Source organism: Homo sapiens, chromosome 12 (genome assembly GCF_000001405.40).
Source record: "Homo sapiens chromosome 12, GRCh38.p14 Primary Assembly".
Taxonomy (NCBI): domain Eukaryota; kingdom Metazoa; phylum Chordata; class Mammalia; order Primates; family Hominidae; genus Homo; species Homo sapiens.
Window position 1 is genome coordinate 48217808 of NC_000012.12, and position 24614 is coordinate 48242421.

Sequence of the window (24614 nt, forward strand, 5' to 3'; positions counted from 1 at the left end):
TCTTACAGGGACTTTTGCTGTGGGCTGTTCTTTTTTGATTTCTCTCTTTTTGCTCCTGGTGAAGGGTCTCAGTGTAGTTTCATCTCTTTCTAGCATTCCTGATGCAAAACACCTACCCAACCAGATGCAATTACTTGGTTCTCTCCTTGCACAAATAGGCAGCTGAATCTTACAAATGACACTGCAACTTGTGCATTCACCCCTTATCTATCTGGTTCTGGGTAACCCTGGTCTCACTAATAAGGAACTCTGGAAGATCCTGGTTGAGCTTGTATTTTAGCAGGCCTACTTCCAGGGCTCATTCCTCATTGATTCCTAAAGCTGGTCATCTTATCTGTATTTTTGAATGAATAAACGTCCTTTCTTTGCTTTTATTAGTCTGATTTCTAAATTTTATTAGTTTTCCCATTTAATGAAAACATACACATTCTCTTATTTTTAGTTAACAAAGAGAAATTGATTTACCACTTTAGGGCAAACTATGTGCTCTCTGGGCTAGAATCAGGAGGGTGGATGGTTTTGCCTTCTTCCTATAGACTGCCTGTTGATTTAATCTTACTTGACCAGGGAAATTTTCAGAGCGGGAGGAGGGAAGACAAGTCTTGTAAATCCTAAGTGCTGGCTCTAGTTCTCTGCCTTGAGTAGCAAAGAAAATCTCCATTCAATTTTCAAATAAGCCCTAATTTAAATCTTTTATTTTATATATTCAATTTCAAAATGATTACGTATTGGCCATTATGGAATTTGGTACCTCCAATCAGTCCACTCATTGTCAAATTCAGGGACAGGAATCGCTGTTGTTTATCTTCCTTAATAAAGATGAAAGGGAACCTGCTTCTCTTCACTGAGTCTCTCTTTTATACCACAATAATCACATATCCACAAACAATTCAATTACCAAATGAACATTTTTTATGGCTACTCTCTGCCTCTTAAGGCATTCCTCAAAGTTTAGGTATAATTTCAAGTTTGTACCTAAATGGAAGACTTTCTAGACTTAATTCTTGATCTCACTTAGATTGGCCTTTTTTTTGGTTGTTGTTACAAAAATGTCTTTTTCCATGAACAAGATTCTTTGAATCTGTCAGTCATTAGCAGATATTTTCTCTTGTACCTATTTTTAAAAATTATTTGTGCATATTTTCCTATTTTATTATCTTATTACTGTTGGGATCCACCAGTACTTTACTGAAGCTCTATTAGAGGCTACTGGTGGTGGATGGCTGCTCAACTCTCTCTCAATCACTCTCCATTGGAGACACTTTTGAGGAAACAAACAATTCAGCAAGATAAAAGAATAATTTTCAGACCAAATAAATTTGTGGGAACTTTGTGACTTCAAAACAGAAATTTTTAACCCTTCATGGGTTCCAGCAGCCTTAGGGAAGCTGATAAATTGTGGACTCACCAAGAAAAATGCTCTATTGCTCACAACTTTTCCTACAACATTTCAGAGATGCGTGGACACTCTGAAACATATCTGTTGATTCCCTGGGGATCCATGAACACCACATTAAATTTTTCTACTATAAAGTTTATTCACCCAGAAAAAATGATGTTTTTCTGCATCGTGAAATGATGCATTTAATTTAATCGAAAAAGTAAGAGATTTATGTATGCATTAGATAAACCAGGTTTTAAGTGGTGTAAGGTTTGAAATTATGAGAGGCCCATTTTATTTAAAGCAGACTACAAGAAGATAGTCAAGCCTCACATAGGCTGAAGCTTTCTAACAGAAGACCCTACATGATTTAAACAAGATTGATGAGTTCATTTACAATGTAAGTGCACTAACCCCATTCCTAAAACAGATTCCATATAATAAACCATAAAATATGTATTATATTTTATTTCCTGTGTTTACAGCATGCTAAGAGAACAACAGAAACATTGTTGCTGTTGAATGTATTCAATACTGTCCTGCCCCTCTTAGGTAAATATGACAAGAATCAGAGCATTACATTATAATAAGACATTTTCCCACCAGTCTAGTCTACAATGGCATACTTTGTACATTGTGCTGCTGTGGTCATGGAATGCAGATTTCTGTCCCTTAATTCACCCGCACTGTACTTTGAGAATGCAAAATATGTGTATCACCAGCATTCTTTTCTTCCAGGACCTGCCAGACATTATTATGACTGAGTATATTTTAATTATAACCAAAACTCTATTGTTTTCTTTGTTTGCAATTTTATTTCCACACATATAATAATATCACTTAAAATAATTGTATGGGACCTCGAGGGGGATACAGTAAACAATATTACTCTCCCATATGGTTCTGAATCAACTGAGAAATAAGACAATGAGTCTGCAGATAGAGGTCAAAATATCACCTTTATTAATAACAAAGTAGACATGATCTTACAGATAATGCTTTTAATGTTTCACTATTAAAGATGATGTTTGCTATGCGGTTTTGGTTTATAATCACTTTAATAGCTTAAGGAAGTTCTTTTCTATTCCTGGTCTGCTGAGATTTTTTTCAAAAAATTACAAACAGACATGAATTTTCAATAAAATAGATGGCATTCCTGCATCTCTTAAGATGATTATGTGATTTTTCATTTTCTGTTCCTGTGGTAATTTACATTAATTCATTTTTTAATGTTAAATCAACTTCAAGGCTGGCACAGTGGCTCATGCCTGTAATCCCAGCACTTTGGGAGGCTGAGGTGGAAGGATCACTTGAGGACAGGAATTCGAGACCAGCCTGTGCAATACAGCGAGACCCCATCTCTAAAAAAAATTTTTTTATATTAGCCAGGCATGGTGATTCATGCCTGTAGTCCTAGCTACTCAGGAGACTGAGGCAGAAGGACCACTTGAGCCCAGGAGGTTGAGGCTGATTGCACCATTGCACTCCAGCCTGGGTGACAAAGAGAGACCCTGTCTCTAAAAAAATTAAATTAAATTAAAAAATAAAAATAAAAAATCAACTTTGAATTACTGGGATAAACTTTACTTTGGTCATGATATAAGGTATAATCTTTTAAATATATTGTAATATACAATTTGCTAAAATTTTGCTTAGGAGTTTTGCAACTATGTCCAAGAGTGAAATTATCTTTTTTGCCGGGGGCAAATTTTAGTTTCAAAGTTATATTTACATCACTAAAAAGGTTGAGGTACTTCCTTTTGTTCTAGTATAGTCAAAGTTAGCATTTTTTTCCTTAATTGTTTGATAGTATCTGCCTTAAAATCATATGTCTGGCTTTATAGAAATATTTTTAAACTATTCATTTAATCTCATGCTTATATGTGTGTTTATGTTTTTCTATTTCTTCTTCAACTTGGAAAATTATATTTTTCTAATAACTTTTCATTTATCTACATTATCAGATTTAATGGCATAAAATTTTCCATAGTATTTTCTTAAAAATATTTAAAACAGCCGGGCGCGGTGGCTCACGCCTGTAATCCCAGCACTTTGGGAGGCGAGGCGGGCAGATCACGAGGTCAGGGAATCGAGACCATCCTGGCTAACACAGTAAAACCCCGTCTCTACTAAAAATACAAAAAAAATAGCCGGTTGTGGTGGCAGGCGCCTGTAGTCACAGCTGCTCGGGAGGCTGAGGCAGGAGAATGGCGTGAACCCGGGAAGCGGACTTTGCAGTGAGCCGAGATCGCGCCACAGCACTCTAGCCTGGGCGACAGAGTGAAACTCCGTCTCAAAAAAAAAAAAAAAAATTAAAACATATATTAGTTTTCTATTGCAGTGTAACGTTACCACAAATTTAGTGGCTTATAGTAAAATTTATCATATGATTTTTTTGCTTTATCTTATCTTACAATATCTTAAAATTTATCTTACAATTTTTCTTTACTATTACAAGTGAAAATTATCTCACCATTTCCATGGGTTGGGAGTCTGGGTATGAACTAGCTGAGTCTTCTGCTCAGTCTCACTAGGTGGAAATCAAGGAGTCATCTGGGGCTGCCATTCTCATCTGAGGCATTGGTCTTCTTCCAAGCTCACTGGTTGCTGGCAGAATCATTTTTTTGCAGTCGTATGACTTACTAGCTGTCATCTGGGGATTGGTCTCAGCTCCTAGAGTTCCTGGCCACACGGCCCCCACAGGCAGTTCACAGCATGGATGTTTGTTTTCTTCCAGGCCAGCAGGAGCATATCACTGTGACTTACAACCCTTCTCTAGTCTGCTACAATGGAATCTTAAACAAGAAAATTTTATATTTTGACTTGCATCATTGAGAAAAACACTGCCAACCTGATCGTGGTTCCTTTGAAGGTAATCTGCCTTTTTTTTTTTTTTTCAGGCTCCTCTTAAGTTTTTCTCTTTGCCTTTCATTTTCAGAAGTTCTAGTGATGTGTCAAGCTATGGCTTTCTTTTTATAAATAAAATATTTTGAAGATATTTAAGGCCTCTTTAATTCCAAGCTATTTTCTCTTCAAATATTGCTTTTGCTCTATCCATTCTTTCTTTCATCTTCTTTATGACATACCTTCATCTTTACCAATTCTTTCTTTCTTTTTGTTTTTTTTTTGTTTTTTGTTTTTTTTTTGAGACAGGGTCTTGCTTTGTTGCCCAGGGTGGAGTGCAGTGGCATGATCATGGCTTACTGTAGCCTTGACCTCCCGAGCTCAAGCTATCCTCCCACATCAGCCTCCTGAGTAGCTGGGACTACAGGCTTGCACCACCACGCCCCGATAATTTTTTGTATTTTTTGTAGAGACAGAGTTTTGCCATGTTGCCTAGGCTGGTCTTGAACTCCTGGACTCAAACGATCCTCCCATCTCAGCCTCCCAAAGTGTCTAGATTACAGGCATGAGTCACTCACTTTACCAGTTCTTTCCTCAGCTACATCAGCTATTGCTTTGCTTTGCTTCTTTCTTTCTTTTTCTTTCTTTCTTTTTCTGTCTCTCTCTCCCTCCCTCCCTTCCTCCCTCTTTCTTTCTTTCTTTCTTTTTTTTTTTTGAGACAGAGTCTCGCTCTGTCACCCAGGCAGGAGTGCAATGGCATGATCTTGGCTCATTGCAACCTCTGCCTCCCGGGTTCAAGCGATTCTCCTGCCTCAGCCTCCCGAGTAGCTGGGTCCGCCACCACTCCTAGCTAATTTTTGTATTTTTAGTAGAGGCAGGTTTCACCATGTTGGCCAGTCTGGTCTCAAACTCCTGACCTGAGGTGATCCACCAGCCTCGGCCACCCAAAGTGCTGGGATTACAGGCGTGAACCACCACGCCTGGCGACATCAGCTATTTCTAATGTGGCTAAATACATAGTGAATGCTCCTGGATCTTGGCTCTAAAATTCTTCACTGCATTTTTAGTTCTTTAATGCCTTTATTGTAGATATTTTAAAATGTGTCAAGCTTTTGGTTGTTTTTGTTGAGATGGTTGATCCAAATTACCTTGTCTATAAATATCAGAAGCAGAAGCCCCCCTTATAATTCAGTCTGCAACATCTGTGCCCCTTTCATTTTTAATATTGTTTATTTAAGTCTGTTTTTTTATAACATAAATCATGCCAGAGAACTGTCAAAGTATTAATTTCTTCGACCTTTATTAGTTTAATCAATCTTTGAATTTTGTTCAATCCATCTATTATGTGCATTTTTTCTTCCTTTCCCTTTCCTTGCATAATGTATTTTATTCTGTGATTAAGTTGTTTGCTAATTTTTAAAATTTTAACTTCTTTTAAGAGAAAGTTCTGCCCTAATTACTGCCCTAGTTATATTCCACAAAATTATATGTAGTTTCATTGTTATTTTGGGTTTCACAAATTTTTCTAATTTTTATTATCGTTCTTTTGCTGAAAGCCAAACATGGATGTTTACAGGTTTTCCATTTAGAAGAGAGAATTTACTTTGTCTGTGTAACCTCAATGAATAAGACTGGAACCAAAGAGAAGAAACATCAGAGAAAAATATTGACTGGTTTTTCTAATTAAAATGCACCAATTATAGCTGACTCCAGATTAGGGAATATACTACAAGCCCAGTTGGGAGAAAGGAAAGAGGATAGAAATCCATTTTTATTTGAATGGATCACTGGGGCCAATTGCACTCCACCTACTTTACAGCCAAAAAGAGCTCATTCATTTGATAGGGGAGTGCCTGTTATGTTGTCAGTATTGTGCTATGTGGCCAGGATACAAAATGACACATGGAAACTCTCTCCCTTCCCTCATTGGTATTCTCCTACATCCCAAGTCATTCTTATATCAGGAAGATAAGTAAGAATATAGAGAACCCATGATATATAGACATTACTACAGAAAAGGATATGTTTATCAGTAGAAATATTTTAAAATCTATCATCTCCAAATAGGGAATATACCTTCTTGTGAAGGGTCGTGGAACATTTACAAAATACTACTGTTGACATATTAGACTATAAAGAAAACTGAATTCCAAAGAGCCAAAACAGTTCAGACCATATTCACTACACTAAAACTAGACATTAAAATTCTGTTTATTTCTTAAATTTTCTTAAACATTTCTTAAACTTCTGTTTATTTTCTCCCCTTGAGATATGAGGAAAGGAGAGCAGGTATCAGCTTGTGCATGGGATTTTCCTTAAGAATATTCTTTCATGTTTTTCTTTTCACTGCAAGAAAACAAATAAATTCATATGGAATATTTTAAATTTAGAATGTGTTATTTTGATTAAGTAAATTGTAGATAACATTCTTCTGGTCAACCAGCTGTGTCATGCAGTCTGTGCACTGCATAGAGGCTCCTGAAGGGAAGAATAGATGCTGAAATCTGGCCTGCACTCAACTGACCAAGCTGTGTATCCTGGCGAGGGGCTGTGTGAATTCAGAAGAAGTGGTGCCTTTGTGTATGTTCATTGCAGCACTATTCACAATAGCAAAGACATGTAATCAACCTAAATGCCCATCAGTGATAAACTGGATAAAGAAAATGTGGTACATATACACCATGGAATACTATGCAGCCATAAAAAGGAGCAAGATCACGTCCTTTGTAGGGACATGGATGGAGTTGGAAGCCGTTATCCTCAACAAACTAATGCAGGAACAGAAAACCAAACACTGCCTGTTCTCACTTATAATTGGGAGCTGAATGATGAGAACACATGGACACACAGAGGGGAACAACACACACTGGGGCCCATTGGGGACTGGGGGGAGGGAGAGCATCAGGAAGAATAGCTAATGGTTGCTTGGCTTAAATACCTAGGTGATGGGATGATCTGTGCAGAAAACTACCATGGCACATCTTTACCTATGTAACAAGCCTGCACATCCTGCACATGAACCCCTCAACTTAAAATAAAAGTTGAAGGAAAAAAAAGCTGTGCCTTTTTTCTAATTCTTCCCTGAGAGGGAGTGACTTTTTATAATTAGCCTAAAGTTTCCATATGTGTTAGAGAAGCCTTGCTGGCTAGGAAGTTCTGGACATGAGACTATTTAAATTTCAGCATTTAGAAGTTTTTGTCTCATAAGATTGATGAAGTCTTTAAATAGTAATAAAAAAGCCTATGTTACTCTAAGTGGGTTCTAGCAACAAAAAGGCAATAAGGCATTTCCTTGAATGCAACGATACTCAAAGTGTGGCCTACAGACCACCAGGAGCAGCATCACCTGGGAGTTTGATAGAGATGCAAACTGTTGAGGTTCATCCCAAATCTAGGGAATCATGAACTCCAGGGATGGGGCTCAGAAATCAGTGTTTTAAAAAACCCTCCATGGTATTCTGATGCACATAAAATGTTGAAAAACAGTGGTTTAACGCAGAGGTGGACAAACCATGGCCCTCAGGCCAAATATAGCCCACTGCCAATTTTTATGAAGTTTAACTGGAATGCAGCCACACCCACTGATTCAAGTATTGTCTATGGTTGTTTCCCACTACAACAGCAGGGCTAAGTAGTTGCCACAGAGACCATATGGCTTATAAGTAGGGTGGCCAGATTTATCAAATAAAAATATAAGTCACCCAGTTGAATTTGAGTTTGAGATAAACAATAAACAATTTTTTATTATGAGTATGTCCCATATGCAATATCAGTAACCCAGCACACGAAATCTATAATACTTACTATCTGGCCTTTCATAGAACAAATTTGCTGACCCTTGCCTACCATAATGACCTTACAGTGAACTTGCTTCTGACAGAGCATGGAAGGAAGCAATGAAAAAAGCCTCACTCCTGGTTGCACACCTGGGATTCTGTACCTGACGGACACCATCCATCCTTTTAGATGATGCATTGAGTCCTAACTATTCCCTTCCCAAGAAAGTTCAAGCCAGGAGATCAATCTGCTTGGGATGGAAAGGTATCTGGTGCCAGTTCTTCTGTTTATAAAACTCAATAGATCAGTTACTTTTCCTATTGTTTAAGTGTCTAGTGTTAAACATATTCAATTAAGTTTTACCAAGGAGATGTTTTCGAAGGATTGTTCAACCAATTCAGAAGTGATTCCGTGACAATAATAAAACTGACATTACCTACTTGAAAATTGAAAAACTAAGAAGCCATCCAAAAACAACTCTTATATTAAGCAGGAACTCAAAACAATTGTAAGTGATCTTAAAAAATTCAGATAAAAGTATTATATATTAACGAATACTGTACACAGATATTTATTGGAGGAAAATTTAATAGCCTGAAATACTTCTATTACTTAACGAAAAGAATAAGGATAAATGAACTTAAATGACACAAAACAAAATGAAATTGCCAAAGAGATTAGAAGCAGATAAACAAAATTAACAAAGGGAAGACCAGAAGCAGAAAATTTGTAAAGATCAAAGCAGAAATTGTTGAGTAAGAAAACAGAAAAAGGGTTGTATGTTTTCAGTAATTTATCTATCTCCTCTAGGTTTTCTAGTTTATGCGTGTAAAGGTGTTCATAGTAGTCTTGAACAATCTTTTTTATTTTTGTGGTGTTGGTTGTAATATTTCCCATTTTGTTTCTAATTGAGCTTATTTGGATCTTCTCTCTTTTCTTGGTTAATTTTGCTAATGGTCCATCAATTTTATTTATATTGTCAAAGAAACAGCTATTTGTTTCATTTATCTTCTGTATTTTTTTTGTTTCAATTTCACTTTGTTCTGCTCTGATCTTTGTTATTTCTTTTCTTCTGCTGGGTTTGGGTTTGATTTGTTCTTGTTTCTGTAGTTCCTTGAGGTATGACCTTAGATTGTCTATTTGTACTTTTTCAGACTTTTTGATGTAGGCATTTAAGGCTATGAACTTTCCTCTTAGCACAGCCTTTGCTGTATCCCAGAGGTTTTGATAGGTTGTGTCACTATTACCGTTGAGTTCAAAGAATTTTCAAATTTCCATTTGGATTTCATTGTTGACTCAATGATCATTCAGGAGCAGGTTATTTAATTTCCATGTATTTGCATGATTTCAAAGGTTCCTTTGGAGTTGATTTCTGATTTTTTCCACTGTGTTCTGAGAGAGTACTTGATATAATTTCAGTTTTCTTAAATTTATTGGGACTTGTTTTGTGACTATCATATGGTCTGTCTTGGAGAAAGTTCCATGTGCTCATGAATAGGATGTATATTCTGTGACTATTGGGTAGAATGTTCTGTAAATATCTGTTAAGTCCATTTGTTCTAGTGCATAGATTAAATCCACTGTTTCGTTGTTGACTTTCTAGCTTAAATCAAGAATAATTAGAAACCCTGAACAGAACAATAACAAGCAGCAAGATTGAAATGGTAATACAAAAGTTACCAAGGAAAAAAAAGTCCAGGACCAGATGTATTCACGGCTAAATTCTATCAGACATTCAAAGAATTGGTAACAATCCAATTGACATTATTCCACAAGGTAGAGAAAGAGGGAATCCTTCCTAAATTATTCTATGAAGCCACTATCACCCTAATACCAAAACCAGGAAAGGACATGACAAAAAAGAAAACTACAGACCAATATCCCTGATGAACACAGATGCAAAAATTCTTAACAAAATACTAGCTAACTGAATCCAACAGCATATCAAAAAGATAATCCAGCATGATCGAGTGGGTTGCATGCCAGGGATGCAGGGATGGTTTAACATACACAAGTCAATAAATGTGATATGCCGCATAAACAGAATTAAAAACAAAAATCACATGATCATCTCAATAGATGCAGAAGAAGCATTTGACAAAATCCAGCGTCTCTTTATGATTAAAACCTTCAGCAAAATTGGCATACCAGGGACATACCTCAATGTAATAAAAGCCATCTATGACAAACTCACAGCCAACATAATACTGAATGGGGAAAAGTGGAAAGCATTCCCTCTGAGAACTGGAACAAGACAAGGATGCCCACTCTCACCACTTCTATTCAACATAGTACTGGAAGTCCTAGCCAGAGCAATCAGACAAGAGAAGGAAATAAAGGGCATCCAAATTGGTAAAGAGTCAAACTGTCGCTGTTTGCTGATGATATGATCATATGCCTAGAAAACCCTAAAAACTCATCCAGAAAGCTCCTAGAACTTATAAATAAATTCAGCAAAGTTTTAAGATACAAAATTAATGTATACAAATCAGTAGCTCTGCTATACACCAGCAGCAACCAAACTGAGAATCAAATTAAGAACTCAACCCCTTTTACAATAGCCACAAAACAAACAAACAAACTTAGGAATATACCTAACCAAGGAGGTGAAAGACCTCTACAAGGAAAACTACAAAACACTGCTGAAAGAAATCATAGACACCACAAACAAATGGAAACACATCTCATGCTCACGGATGGGTAAAATCAATTATTGTGAAAATGACCATTCTGCCAAAGGCAATCTACAAATTCAATGCAATTCCCATCAAAATATCATCATCATTCTTCACAGAACTAGAAAAAAAATCCTAAAATTCATATGGAACCAAATAAGAGCCCAAATAGCCAAAGCAAGCCTAAGCAAAAAGAACAAATCTGGAGGCATCACATTACTGATTTCAAACTATACTATAAGGCTATAGTCACCAAAACAGTATGGTACTGGTATAAAAATAGGCACATCAACCAATAGAACAGAATAGAGAATCCAGAAATAAACCCAAATACATACAGCCAACTGATCGTTGACAAAGCAAACAAAAACATAAAATGGGGAAAGGACACTCTTTTCAACAAATGGTGCTGGGATAATTGGCTAGCCACATGTATGAGAATGAAATTGGATCCCCGTCTCTCACCTTATACAAAAATCAACTCAAGATGAATGAAGGACTTAAATCTAAGACCTGAAACTATAAAAGTTCTAGCAGATAACATTGGACAAACACTCCTAGAGATTGGTTTAGGCAAATACTTCATGACCAAGAACCCAAAAGCAAATGCAACAAAAACAAAGATGAATAGCTCAGACTTACTAAAGAGCTTTTCCACAGCAAAAGGAAGAATCAGCAGAGTAAACAGACAACCCACAGAGTGAGAGAAAATCTTCATAATAATACATCTGACAAAGGGCTAATATCCAGAATCTATAAAGAACTCAAGCAAATTAGCAGGAAAAAATCAAACAGTCCCATAAAAAAGTTGGCTTAAAAGAAGATATACAAATGGCCAAAAAATATGAAAAACTGCTCAACATCACCAATGATCAGAAAAATGCAAATCAAAACCACAGTGTGATACCACCTTACTCCTGCAAGAATAGCCATAATCAAAAAATCAAAAAAGAATAGATGTTGGCATGGATGCTGTGAAAAGGGAACACTTCTACACTGCTGGTGGGAATGTAAACTAGTACAACCTATGGAAAACAGCATGGAGATTCCTTAAAGAACTAATAGTAGAACTGCCATTTGATCCAGCAATCCCACTATTGGGTATCTACCCAGAGGAAAAGAAGTCATTATACAAAAAAGATACTTGCACACACATGTTTATAGCAGCACAATTCGTAATTTCAAGAATATGGAACCAGCCCAAAGGTCCCTCATTCAATGAGTGGATGAAGAAGTTGTGAGATATATATACATATATATACGTATATATATATGTATATATATGTGTATATATATACGTATATATGTATATATATGTGTATATATATACGTATATATACTTATATATGTATGTATATGTGTATATATACGTATATATACTTATATATGTATGTATATGTGTATATATACATATATACGTATATATATACACATATACATATATATATATATATATATAAAATGGAATACTACTCAGTCATAAAAAGGATTGAATTAATGGCATTCATAGCAACCTGGATGGAACTGGAGACTATTATTCTAAGTAAAGTAACTCAGGAATGGAAAACCACACATTGTATGTCCTGAGTCATAAATGGGAGCTAAGCTATGAGGATGCAAAGGCATAAGAATGATACAATAGACTTAGGGTACTCAGAGGAAAGAGTGGGTGGGGGTGAGGTATAAAAGACTACAAATAAGTGCAGTGTATCCTGCTCAGGTGATGAGTGCATCAAAATCTCACAAATCACTACTAAAGAACTTACTCATGTAACCAAGTACCACCTGTTCCCCCAAAACCTGTGGAAATAAAAAAATTAAAAAAAACAAACCAGAAATAGAATAGAATCAGTAAATGAATTCAAGAATTGGTCCTAGGAAAAAGCCAATAAACGCCGGGCATGGTGGCTCACACCTGTAATCCCAGCACTTTGGGAGGCCAAGGTGGGCGGATCACCTGAGGTTGGGAGTTTGAGACCAGCCTGACCAACATGGAGAAACCCCATCTCTCCTAAAAACACAAAATTAGCCGGGTGTGGTGGCACATACCTGTAATCCCAGCTACTCAGGAGGCTGAGGCAGGAGAATCGCTTGAACCCTGGAGGCGGAGGTTGCGATGAGCCAAGATCGCGCCATTGCACTCCAGCCTGGGCAACAAGAGAGAAACTCCGTCTCAAAAAAAAAAAAGCCAATAAAATAGACAAACTACTGTCTATCTAATAATTAAAAATGAAGTGGTAGAAAGAGAGCAAAAATACACAAATTTTAAAAGGTGAAATAATCACAGCCACAAAGAAAATAAAAATAATTATGCAACAGTACTTTGCAAGACTCTATGGCAATCACTTTGAAAGCCAGAAAGAAGTAGGTAATTTTCTGGGTTAATATGAATCAATAAAATTTGTTGAATGAAAGATAGAAACAAAATTAAATATACTGAGTGAAATGAATGTAATGCAGTAGTTCTGAACCTTGGCTTTACATTGTGGTCACTTGGAGAGCTTTTAAATATCCCCATCCCTAGGATGCATACCAGACCAATTAAAATAACATATTGGAGCTGGGCATGGTGGCACATACCTGCAGACTCAGCTACTCAAGAGGCTGAAGGGAGAGGATCACTTGAGCCTGAGAGTTCAAGGCTGCAGTGAGTTATGATTGCACCACTGCACTCCAGCCTGGGCAACAGAATAAGACCCCTTCTGTGAAAAAAAAAAAAAAAAAAAAAAAAAAACCAGGAAAGAAACACTCAGGTATTAATATTTGAAGAAAATCTAATTGACAATAATTATATATTTATAGAAAACAATGTGATGTTTTGATATGTTAGCAAAATGATTAAATCAAGCTAATTAATGTATCTACCACATCACATAGGCAACAGTATTATTTATTTATTTATTTATTTATTTATTTATTTATTTATTTATTTTTACTTTTTAAACTTTCATTTTAAGATCAGGGGTACCTGTGCGGGTTTGTGACACTGGTAAACTTGTGTCATGCGGGTTTCTTGTACAGATTATTTCATCACCCAGGTATTAAGCCTAGTACCCATAAGTTATTTTTCCTGATCCTCTCCTTCCTCCCACCCTCCACTCTCCATCCTCTAATAGGCCCCAGCATGTGTTGTTCCCCTCTATATATCCATGAGTTCTCATATTTAGCACCCACTTATAAGTGAACACATGTGATATTTGTTTTTATGTTCCTGTGTTAGTTTTCTAAGGATAGTGGCCCCTAGCTCCATTCATGTCCCTGCAAAGGACATGATCTCATTCTTTTTTATGGCTGCATAGTATTCCATGGTATATATGTACCACATTTTCTTTATCCAGTCTATCAGTGATGGGCATTTATGTTGATTCCATGTCTTTGCTATTGCAAACAGTGTTGCAGTGAACATACATGTGCATGTGTCTTTATGATAGAATTATTTATATTCCTTTGGGTATATACCCAGTATCTGTCTTTAGGTCTTTGAGGAATCACCACACTGTCTTTCACAATAGCATCAGTATTTTTTAAAAGCTCCCCAGGTGATTTCAATGTGCAACCAACTTTGAGAGCCATTCAGATAGAGGAAGTTAACAAAAGGCTATGCCTCAAAATAGCTTCAGGCCCCGATAGCTCCATAGGTAAATTTTAAATCTTGTAGCAATCGGATATTTTCAAGGCTAATGAAACTGTTTGCAAGGACAGAAAAAATAAGGATCGCTGATTACTTTCACAAAGTCATCAAACCATTGAGACTAAAACTTGAAAAATTATACAAAAGAAAATTATAACTAAGGTGATTTATTAATAATGGTGAAATAGACTAAATTATTAGCAAATGGAATTCAGCAGTGCATTCAAAGAATAGTACATCATGACCAGGTGAAATTCATTTGAGGGATTAAAGGTTCTTCTAATAGGGGGAATCCCACTAATACAACTCACTATATTAATATTTCAAAGATGAAAAACTTCTAATCAATTATATAGATGTTTAAAAGGCATTTGATAAAATTTGATGTTGATACCCAGTTCTTAAAATTTTTTTAGTAAAATAGGACTAGAAGGATGCTTCCATGTCATAATTAAAACTAAATTAACATAACTAATCTAAATCAAAGTAATTACATACTGTGTGTTAGGTATTGTTTGTTCTGTATGTGTTATTAGTAGTAATCGTTTTAAGCTTCACAGTAATCCTATGAGGTAGGAGTTCTTCTTTTATCCTCATTTTACAGATACAAAGAAAGGGTCAGTAACTTGTCCAAGGTATACAGTAAGTGGTAAAGCTCAAATTTAAACCTCAGGAGTCTGATTCCAGAAGCTGCATTGTCAACTAACTCTCCACACTGCTTTGAGCTTTTGGGTGCCCTGCAAGTACTAGCCAAAAGCATTTAGACAAATGAATTAAATGAGTGGTGTGCTGGTTAAGTGTTTAACAAATGGCTCTGGGTGGGGGGTACCTTATTTGTAGCATTTGCCAATTTTCATGGTATAAACAATTCCACAATGACTTATTTCAAATTACCCATGAGACACCACTAATCATGGAGCTGGGAAGAGATATGTTAGGTTGCTATTATACGGCTTTCCTACCATACGGATACAATAGACATAAATAATCTTGAGAGTATAGATAATAGTAAAATATAGTGACAAAATTAGGAAGTGATGATGAATTTTAAGTATTTATTACCTTCGTTTTAAAATATTAATAATGGCTATGTTTAACAATCAATTTTCAAAACTCTTGAAATTTAACAATTGGCTCTTGAGAGCTGGTACCAGCTGGCTCCACTACATCACTTGGAATGAAAATGAACAGGCAAAATTATTATTTGAAGATGACATTTCTGGGAATAGGGTGCATTTCTGCCCCTCTCTTCATGTCTCTGCCTCAGCCTGTAGGGAGGCCAGAATTTCTACCTAAACTTTTTCCATTAGGAGGAAATAACAGGTAACAATTCTGACCCTACTGTTCATCTTTGCCCTAGAAGTAGTCTTCATATCCCTCAGATTGGGCACTGGTTACATATATCATGGCATGTACACAAAATGGGACAATTTTTTTGGAAATCTTGTCTTACCTCCTTCTATTGCTCTGACTGGGAATGATCTGTTTGTTGCAGAATCACTGCAGCAGGTGCGAGAGAGGACTCATGGAGCTTGCAGATGAGCTAGCCCAGGTAGGACATCTGATGTTGGGACCCTCTTCAGAAGTGAAGCATATATAATCCCACATGAAATCTCTCAAGCCATTCCAGAAGAATGTTTTCTCAGATAAAGGTTATTTACCTATTTATAATAATTTATAATTTACAAAGCATATTCATATATATGATCCCATCTAACTCATAAAATTATATGAAATGTATACTATCTCCATTTTACAGATGGGGAAATTGAGCCTCAGAGTGATAAAGTAACTTCCCCAAAGTCATGTAGCTAGTAAATGAAAGTGATGAGACTCACACTAGGTTCTTCTAAGTTTTTAGAGTACTTCGTCCACGGCGCCAAGGTGTCTAGGGCAGAGACACCACAACCTCCTAAGGTAGGTTATGCCATTAATGTTCCACTTGGGTGGGAATACACACACACCCACACACACACTATAATTCACACTTCCTTATAGTTATATTCCTCATTCTTTGAACTTAATCCATGGTAAAGAATTATTTATTATGGTGGGGTAGAAGGAGACCCTTTGAGATTTGAAGACACTGATTAACCATGTTAGTGTTTTTCCTCAGGCAAAATATTCATGGGCTCTTTTACCATAACTTGCTGTCCTTATTTCCTCATTAAATTTCAAGTTTCCACAAAATAAGAAAAGAAACAACTAAAGAAGAAATTGTTGGAAGGCATGGAGCAAAGTGTAAGAACAACTAAGTAAACATGTACATTTTGCATTTTTAAAAAATTCAGTGGCCATAATACCACTGGCCAACAGGCTGATCAAATAATCCCTGAAACAAAGAGTTATATGTTACGGAGGGGATTGAATCAGAATACAGAAAAGAGAGACTTGAGAGGTTAAGACAAAACATCCTGGGAAATACACCTATTAAAATATGGTAACTAGCTGTTCTCCATTTCTTTCAAGACAGAATGGGAAATGGAGGTAAACACAGCAAGAGTATTAGTCGGTTAGACAACAGGAATATTTTGCTGATTTTTGTTGTTGTTGTTTTGTTTTTGTTTTTGTTTTTGAGACAGTGTCTTGCTGCGACACCCAGGCTGGAGTGCAATGGCATAATCTCGGCTCACTGCAACCTCCGCTTCCCGGGTTCAAACAATTCTTCTGCCTTAGCCTCCCTAGTAGCTGGGACTACAGGTGTGCACCACCACACCTGGCTAATTTTTTTTTTTATATATATTTTTAATAGAGATGGGATTTTATCATATTGGCCAGGCTGGTCTCAAACTCCTGACCTCAAGTGATCTGCCTGCCTAGCCTCCGAAAGTGCTGGGATTACAGGCGTAAGCCATTGCTCCTGGCCTTTGCTGATTTTAATGAGGGATTTGAAAGCATCAAAATGACTGAACAAAGGAGCAGTGAAAAATCTTTCCTGGGGTCTTTGGAAAAAAAACAGATTCCAGTGTGTCAGATCTTTCAAGGCAAGATGGTCCAAGAGCAACGAATGGACAGTTGCCTTCATGTCCTTCTGTGTTTTCTTTCTTGTTTAACAGCATCAAGGTACATCCACTCATTTAAGTGGGAGCCTGAATGTCATCGTCCACTCACTCATCTCCATAGCCCTTCATGTTCTTATTTAAAACCTCCTTCACCCTTCCCATGTATCCTACAATCCAGTTACTATTTACCATACACAAACCCATCCATTTGTCTTTACTTTCTATAACCTCATATTAGAAGTGATGATGTATTTGTTCATTCAGTTTTTATTTGGTGCTATGATGTGTTCTCCTCTCCCTGCCTCCATGTTTTTAACACTTGCTTTTTCTATGGAATGTTCTTTGACTCTATGGGCACCTGGTGAATTCTTTCTCGTCTTTTGTGATGCGGATCATATGCTATCTTCTCAAGAAAGCCTTCCCCCCCAAACCTAGCATTTTCCCCTTTCTTTTAGAGAAAGCAGCTTTATTTTTTTAGAGGCAATCTCTTTTATCTGCATATTTGCGCTTTGGGCCACAAGTGTCGTGGACAGTTTATACAAGGTCCAAAAAATAATAAGAAGAATTAAATTGGCTTTGTAACAGATGATTCTGGGCAAGAGACCAATACTGAGAGATTTAACAATTTTATCATGAATTAGCTAAGAAATAAATACTAACTATAACAGAACTAATTTAAAAAACTAGAAATAATATAAAATAATGAAACCACCTTTGCAAAAATTGTAACAGTGAGAAAATTATGACAGTGAAAGAGATCTGACCTAAGTGACTCCATCTTGCTTCCAACCTCCAACCTGTCCTCGTTCATTCCTGGGCATAGGCCAAACTAACTTTGGGAGGAACTTAGTTTATAGTTTCAACTTTGAAACAAAGATGATAACAGCTCTTTCCTGAAACAAACCCTCTTCTTGCTTTATAGGACTAACAAATTAGCCACAAGTTTAGAAATTATGGTTTAGGAGTTAGGCAGCGAGAGGTCACAGATTCCAAACCTCCCCATTTACAATAGGGATGACATCACTATTGTAAAATCTAAGATTGGTGCTCAGAATATTTTTCAGACCCTGAACTTGATGGGTCAGCTGCCACCACGCAGATGGATAAAGTGGCTTATCTGGTACTGTGGCCCCCACTCAGGAACTGACTCAGCGCAAAGAAGACAGCTTCAACTCCCTATGATTTCATCTCCAATGGGACCAATCATCACTCCCCAGTCCCTGGCCTCCTATGCACCAAATTATCCTTAAAAAACCCCAGTCTCTTAATTGTCAGTCTCTCCAATCTCTGAATTTCCAGAAAGAGTTTAATTCATGCAGAGGCAGCTGAACTGATTTGAGTATGAATTAAACTCTTTCTCTATTGCAATTCCTCTGTCTTGATGAATCGGCTTTATCTGGGCAGTGGGCACAATGAATCCTTGGGCGGTTACAATAAAACTGAAAATAGATAAAAACTGTGTGTGGCAAGATTTAGATCTATAAATTTTGACCTTGGAAAATAGAACTCCATAAAAATAATGCCCCCAAAATAAAACTCACAGTAGTAGAAGCTGTTATAGTAAAATTTGAATTGAACAAAAGACTGTTAAAACAGGACTGTGTTGATAAGTTACACATAAATGAATTCATCCGGATCAAAATAATTTTAGTATTTTTACTCATGACATTGTATTCATGTTTATTTATGACAACATAAATAGTAATTTTATTCACATGACAAAATTGGAAATACTTTAAGTGTGCTATGTAGAAAACTAATCAAGGAATTAATTTGGGTTAATGAAATTAATTGTTAAAAGTAATTTCTTGTCAACAACTTTTGTTGCTGGTATAATTGTTACATGCCAGGTTCTGGTCTGTTCTACCTTCAAGCAGTAAATCAATCACTATGATTCAGGTTTTGCAAAAGAGAAAAGATTTATTCGAAAGGACACCCAGCGAGGAGGCGGTGGGAGAACAGCTCTCAAATCTGCCTCCCCAAAGATAAAGCTTAAGGGTATTTATGGGTTAGGGAAGTGAGGTGGTCTAAGGTGTGGGGAAAGGTGGTTGCTAGTGGGGAAAAATGAAGTAACAGGTTCATTCTGCAACAGCCTAGCTGGAGTTTGTGGCATTCCACAGCACATATGTACAGAAAATGGCAGCATTAGCATGGACTGAGGATGGAGTCTTTGGCCCTCCAACATAAAAAGGCCGCCTCTCCAGCACTTGAGCAGACCCAGTTAAAAGGTCAGTGGTCTCAACCAGTTTGAACTGGACAGAAGCAGGTCCAAGTTTCTGAAAAACAACTGAAGTAACCGTTACCATGGTGACCTGTGAATGTTATCTATAAAGTAGCTGGTGAAGGTTACGTTTCAGCATTCAGTGGCATGCCCTTCAGTGATTGCAGACTTCAACTTCAGGGAGAGATAAAAAATAACAAAAAGCAAGCAACCAAAAGCAAGCAGGACAGGCAGACCTGACCAAACTAACCCCTCAGTTTTATAATTCTAATTTTAATGTTTGTATTCATTAACACAGAATCACAGCACTCCCAGGACAAAAGTGAGGGTAAAAAAACTACAAAATAGTAATAGCAGGACAAAAACATCTACTGTTGCTCCAGCACAGAGTAAGCTTTTGATTAATGATTTTTGAGAAAGGAAATGAATATTTAAACAATGTGATGTTTGTTAATCACTTTCTAACTATAAGCCCACTAACTAAAATCTGCCTGAAATTCACTTATCAAATCTGCAATATTTAATGCAAGATTAGATTGATTGTTTTAATCCTCTGAAAGTTTTGCATTACTTTGGATACTTTCCCCTTTCTGTTAGTTTTCTTTTGAGCATTTCAAGGAGTTTTAAATTCCAATTTATCTATGGATCCTTCTGCCTTAATTTCAAGCAAACAAGCAAATTATATACTATAATTCAGGAAATGAGAGTGTTCAGTGTAAGTCAATCATACAGAGAAAAAAGGCAACTTTTTCTTCAAGATTAGAGAAACCACTATCATAACATTTAATATTTCTCCATCATTTCATTGATCCTTCTGCAAAGGAAGAGAACTTTGAGACATAAATCCATCTCTTTCCTTTCTTGGTTTTATGGAAGCAACTAGATGCTTGCTTCACACCATAATGCTAAGTACAAGTAGTATAAAAATTTGAATATATAAAAAACTCACTAAAAAACCTGGAAGGAAATATAATTAAATACTGATCTAAAATTTTGAATGGAGAACTTCTGAGGCAAAAGTGATAAGTTATGAGCCCTCTGTCCCACCCCAATGTTTTATTAAGCCTGCAGTGTTTCCTTTGAAGGATGTTGTATGTAATAATCTGGATTCTGGAAAAATTCAGATCTTGCCACAGTGGGCCTATTCTTATCAACAACAAATTGGAATTTAGTGGTGTTCCTCCTGTTTGGACAAGCTGCAAGTTCTTCCCAGTTTCAAGACTACCTGTTGCCTTGTATCGGGCCCACATCAGCCCCACATCAGCCCCACATCAGCCCATTGTATTATCTCTCTGACCAGTGGTGGAGTTTGAGCTTGTGGACTTTGTCTACATCATAGAAGAAGTCATGAAGAGAAAGATGACATATCTGACTAACATCAAGTGGAAAACTTTGGTATATAAAAATAAGCCACTTCACTTATTTTTAACAAGTAACTGATTAGAAAAATGAGCAAATACAAGAGTCAACCATATATTAAATTTATGATATCAAGAGTTCATCAAAAATACCAATATCTTAAGGGACAAAAGGATAAGAACTCAATTGATAGAAGAGGAAACACCATCCAAAAGCATTCAAACTCATTAGTAACCAAACAATAGTTTTAAAACAATTACATATGATTTCTGATCCATTAAATTAAAAAAATTAAAGTATAACATCAATGCTAATACTCCATTGTTGGCTGGAAAGTAGTTTGGCAATATGTACCAAAAGCTTTCAAAATGTTTATTCCCTTTAATGTGGAGTCCCTATACTCACACAGATCCCAGAGTCCAAGGGCCTGGATTCAAATCCAGACTCCTCCATTTATCAACGATGTAAACAGGGGTAATGTAAACCAGCACATCTCGATTTCCTCATCTCTAAAATGAGAATAATCATAATAGTACTTACATTATTGGATTACTGTGATGATTAAATGAATAATAGGACTTTTGGGAACAGTGCCTAGCAAACAGTGGTACAATATAAGTTTGCTAAATGAATAGATTTATCTATTTTAAAAATTTACTTGAGGAAGCTACCAACTGAGAAAAGGATTTATGCAGAAAATTGTGTATTATAGTACTATTTATAATATTTATAATAGCAAAAAATTAAGAGCTATAATAGAGAATGATTAGCTATTTCATAGAAAATGAAATTAATGAAATGTGATGCAGTCATTAAAATTATGTTTATGAACTTTGTGTAATAATGTTGAAATCATAATTTTAAGTGAAATAAAAAGCAAAATATATACCAGCATATTTGGCATATTACAATAATTAAATTACAATAATTAAATTTTTATTTAAATTACAATAGATTTAGATTACAATAATTAAAAAGAAATTTTCTTTGCTTTGGAAGGAAGATTAGATAAAGGATTGGAAGGAAGTCAGCCAAAATGTTAAGAGTAGCTGCTTACAGATAGTGGAGCTATAAACGATTTATTTTTTAATGTTCTTCTCTATTTTCTATTTGTTTTTAAACTCAGCATTCTTTAGTTTTGTATATTTTTTAATTCACATTTTTAAGGTAGAAAGTGATACTTTGTGTAAGGATTTGGAAGGCTTAAACTCATGGTATAATTAACCAAAATACATCAAATTTAATAATTCTTAGATATACAAACTTCAGAAGTCATATTCTGAGATAATTTCTTTAAATATTAAAATTAAGAGAAAAAAAGACAGGCTCTTAAGCAGATGCAAAAATACCTATGTTACAAGCCTGCACATTCTGCACATGTATCCCAGAACTTAAAGTAAAATAAAAAAAATAATAATAAGATCATGCCAGTGGTTTTTAAACATACTTTATGTATTTAATTGAAAATCACATCTCCTTTACCTTCTTTCAGCATATATTGTACTTAAAACTCTGAACATTAGCCCTCAGAATAAGGAAATGAATAATAAAAAAAGCAAAAATAGAAAACTCTAAAATAACTGAAATAATCTAATCACATATAAGATGTAATGAATTTAATAAATGTGAACTTATATTTATATACAATTTATATACATATTGAAAATTAATCACTTAGGCTCACAAGAGAATTCGTTTTAGGATACTTTGTCTGCTCCCTTTAGGCCTTGATGGAATTAATGTCTAAATAGCTTTTGAGATTGTTATGGAAACTAAAAGGATACTGGTATCAAATATCTGGCTATGTCTTACCTACATTTCTTCTGGTCTTATTTATGTTGTCCCAGCCTCACCAAAAATTGAGATTTATGTTTAACCTTTTGTTTACCATGTGATGGACAAATTTGGCAAGTTTGTCAATTTATAATAGTATTTTCTATTGTATCATCTAGACCTTTTTTGAGGTAAATATGATTTCTTTCCCTTTTCTCCATCAATTCTAGATTTTGCCCTCTTGTAGTTTCTTCCACTGCAAATTCTCCGTATCTCTGCAATTGAGGAGCCCTGAACTACACTTCACATTTAATGATGATCTGACTGACACTTTGAGGGATTTTGCTTGGCATGCCACATTTTTACTGCTATCGAAAAGGCAAAAGTACATGCTCTGTTCACAAGGAAACTTCTCTAGCATCCACATGAGTGGGAGATAGCAGATAAGCTTATGGATCTCATATCCACTTATTCTTTCCACCTAAATACTTGATAGTTGTTTATCATCTTCCCTCCAGAGTCCCAATCTAAATTACAAATAAATTAAATATCAAACAAATCTTGGAATAGATTCCTTCTCCTGACAGTAGCCACCCCTAGAAGGTACTTTAAATAATTTGTAAAAACAAACAAAAAAATACCCATTCTGTCACCAAAAAAAAAAAAAAACACCCTAAAAGGTAGAGAGAAAACATAGTTGAAAAGTGACCAGTTACTCCACACATAGATTAGGACCTGCATATTAAGAGTGTGGTTATTTGTACAAGATGAATTTGTAGGAAATTGTACAGAAGGACTTTGTCATTGATGATGGCAAGACTGAGCATTAGACTGGATTTTTTCAATAGTCTTAGCAGGACTATGGTTAATGTGAACTACAGTGCTGTTTATGTTGTCTTGAAAAATTGTACTGATGGTAAAAATAAACAAAGATAAGGGGATGAGATACTGTAATCATATGGGAGATCTTGAATTAAAGAGTTATCTAATCAATGACATAAATAGTATTAGGAAGTGAAATTGATACAAACATACCTTGTTTTTTGTCCTTTGCTTTATTGCACGTCACAGATAGTTTTTTACAAATTGAAGGTTTGTGGCAACCCTGCATTAAGCAAGTCTGTTGGCACCATTTTCCCAACAGCATGTGCTCACTTTGTGTCTCTGTGTCACATTTTGGTAGGTCTCACAATATTTCAAACTTTTATTACTATTATTATTATTATTATTATTGTTATCTGTTATGGTGATCTGCCTTTAGTATTTTTGATGTTACTGTTGTAATTGTTTTGGGGCATCACGGACCACAACCATCTAAGAAGACAAACAATAAATGTATTTGTTCTAACTGCTTCACTAACTGGCTGCTCACCCTCTCTACCTCTCCTTGGCTTCCTTAGTCCCTGTGATATGGCAATACTGAAGTTAGGCCAATTAATAACTCTACAATGGCCTGTAAGTGTTCCAATGAAAGGAAGAGTCACACATCTCTTACTTTAAGTCAGTAGTTAGAAATGACTAAGCTTAGTGAGGAAGGCATGTTGAAAGCTGGGAAAGTCTGAAAGCTAGCTTCCTGCACCAAACAGTTAGCCAAGTGGTGAATGCAAAGAAAATGTTCTTGAAGGAAATTAAAAGTGCTACTCCAGTGGACACACAAATGATAAGAAAGTGAAACAGCCTTATTGCTAATAGGGAGAACGTTTTAATGGTCTGGATAGAAGAACAAACATAAAAGTGTAGGGGAAGGCAGCAAGTGCTGTTGGAGAAGCTGCGAGTTATCCAGAAGATCTAGCTAAGATCAATGATGAAGGTGGCTATGCTAAACAAAAGATTTTCAATATAGACAAAACATCCTTATATTGGAAGAAGAAGCCATCTAAGACTTTCATAGCTATAGAGGAGAAGTCAATGCATTGTTTTAAATCTTCAAAGGACAGGCTGACTCTCTTGT

The 24614-nt window shown here is 35.9% G+C and overlaps 1 long non-coding RNA gene across 10 annotated transcripts in view; it reads left to right on the forward strand.

Annotated features, from left to right (window-relative positions):
• Positions 1-24016, forward strand: part of LOC102725258 (uncharacterized) — a 43463-nt gene extending 19447 nt beyond the window's left edge. For 2 of the 10 annotated variants that reach the window (XR_001749121.3, XR_001749122.3), the window contains exons 2-3: positions 4119-4253; positions 15804-16909. This is a non-coding gene — a long non-coding RNA (uncharacterized LOC102725258). Of the gene's footprint in view, positions 1-4118; positions 4254-8087; positions 8267-15803 lie in introns of all 10 variants that reach the window. The other 8 variants (XR_002957411.2, XR_944911.3, XR_944912.3 and 5 more) reach the window with 8 other exon arrangements.
• Positions 24017-24614: the final 598 nt, after the last annotated feature.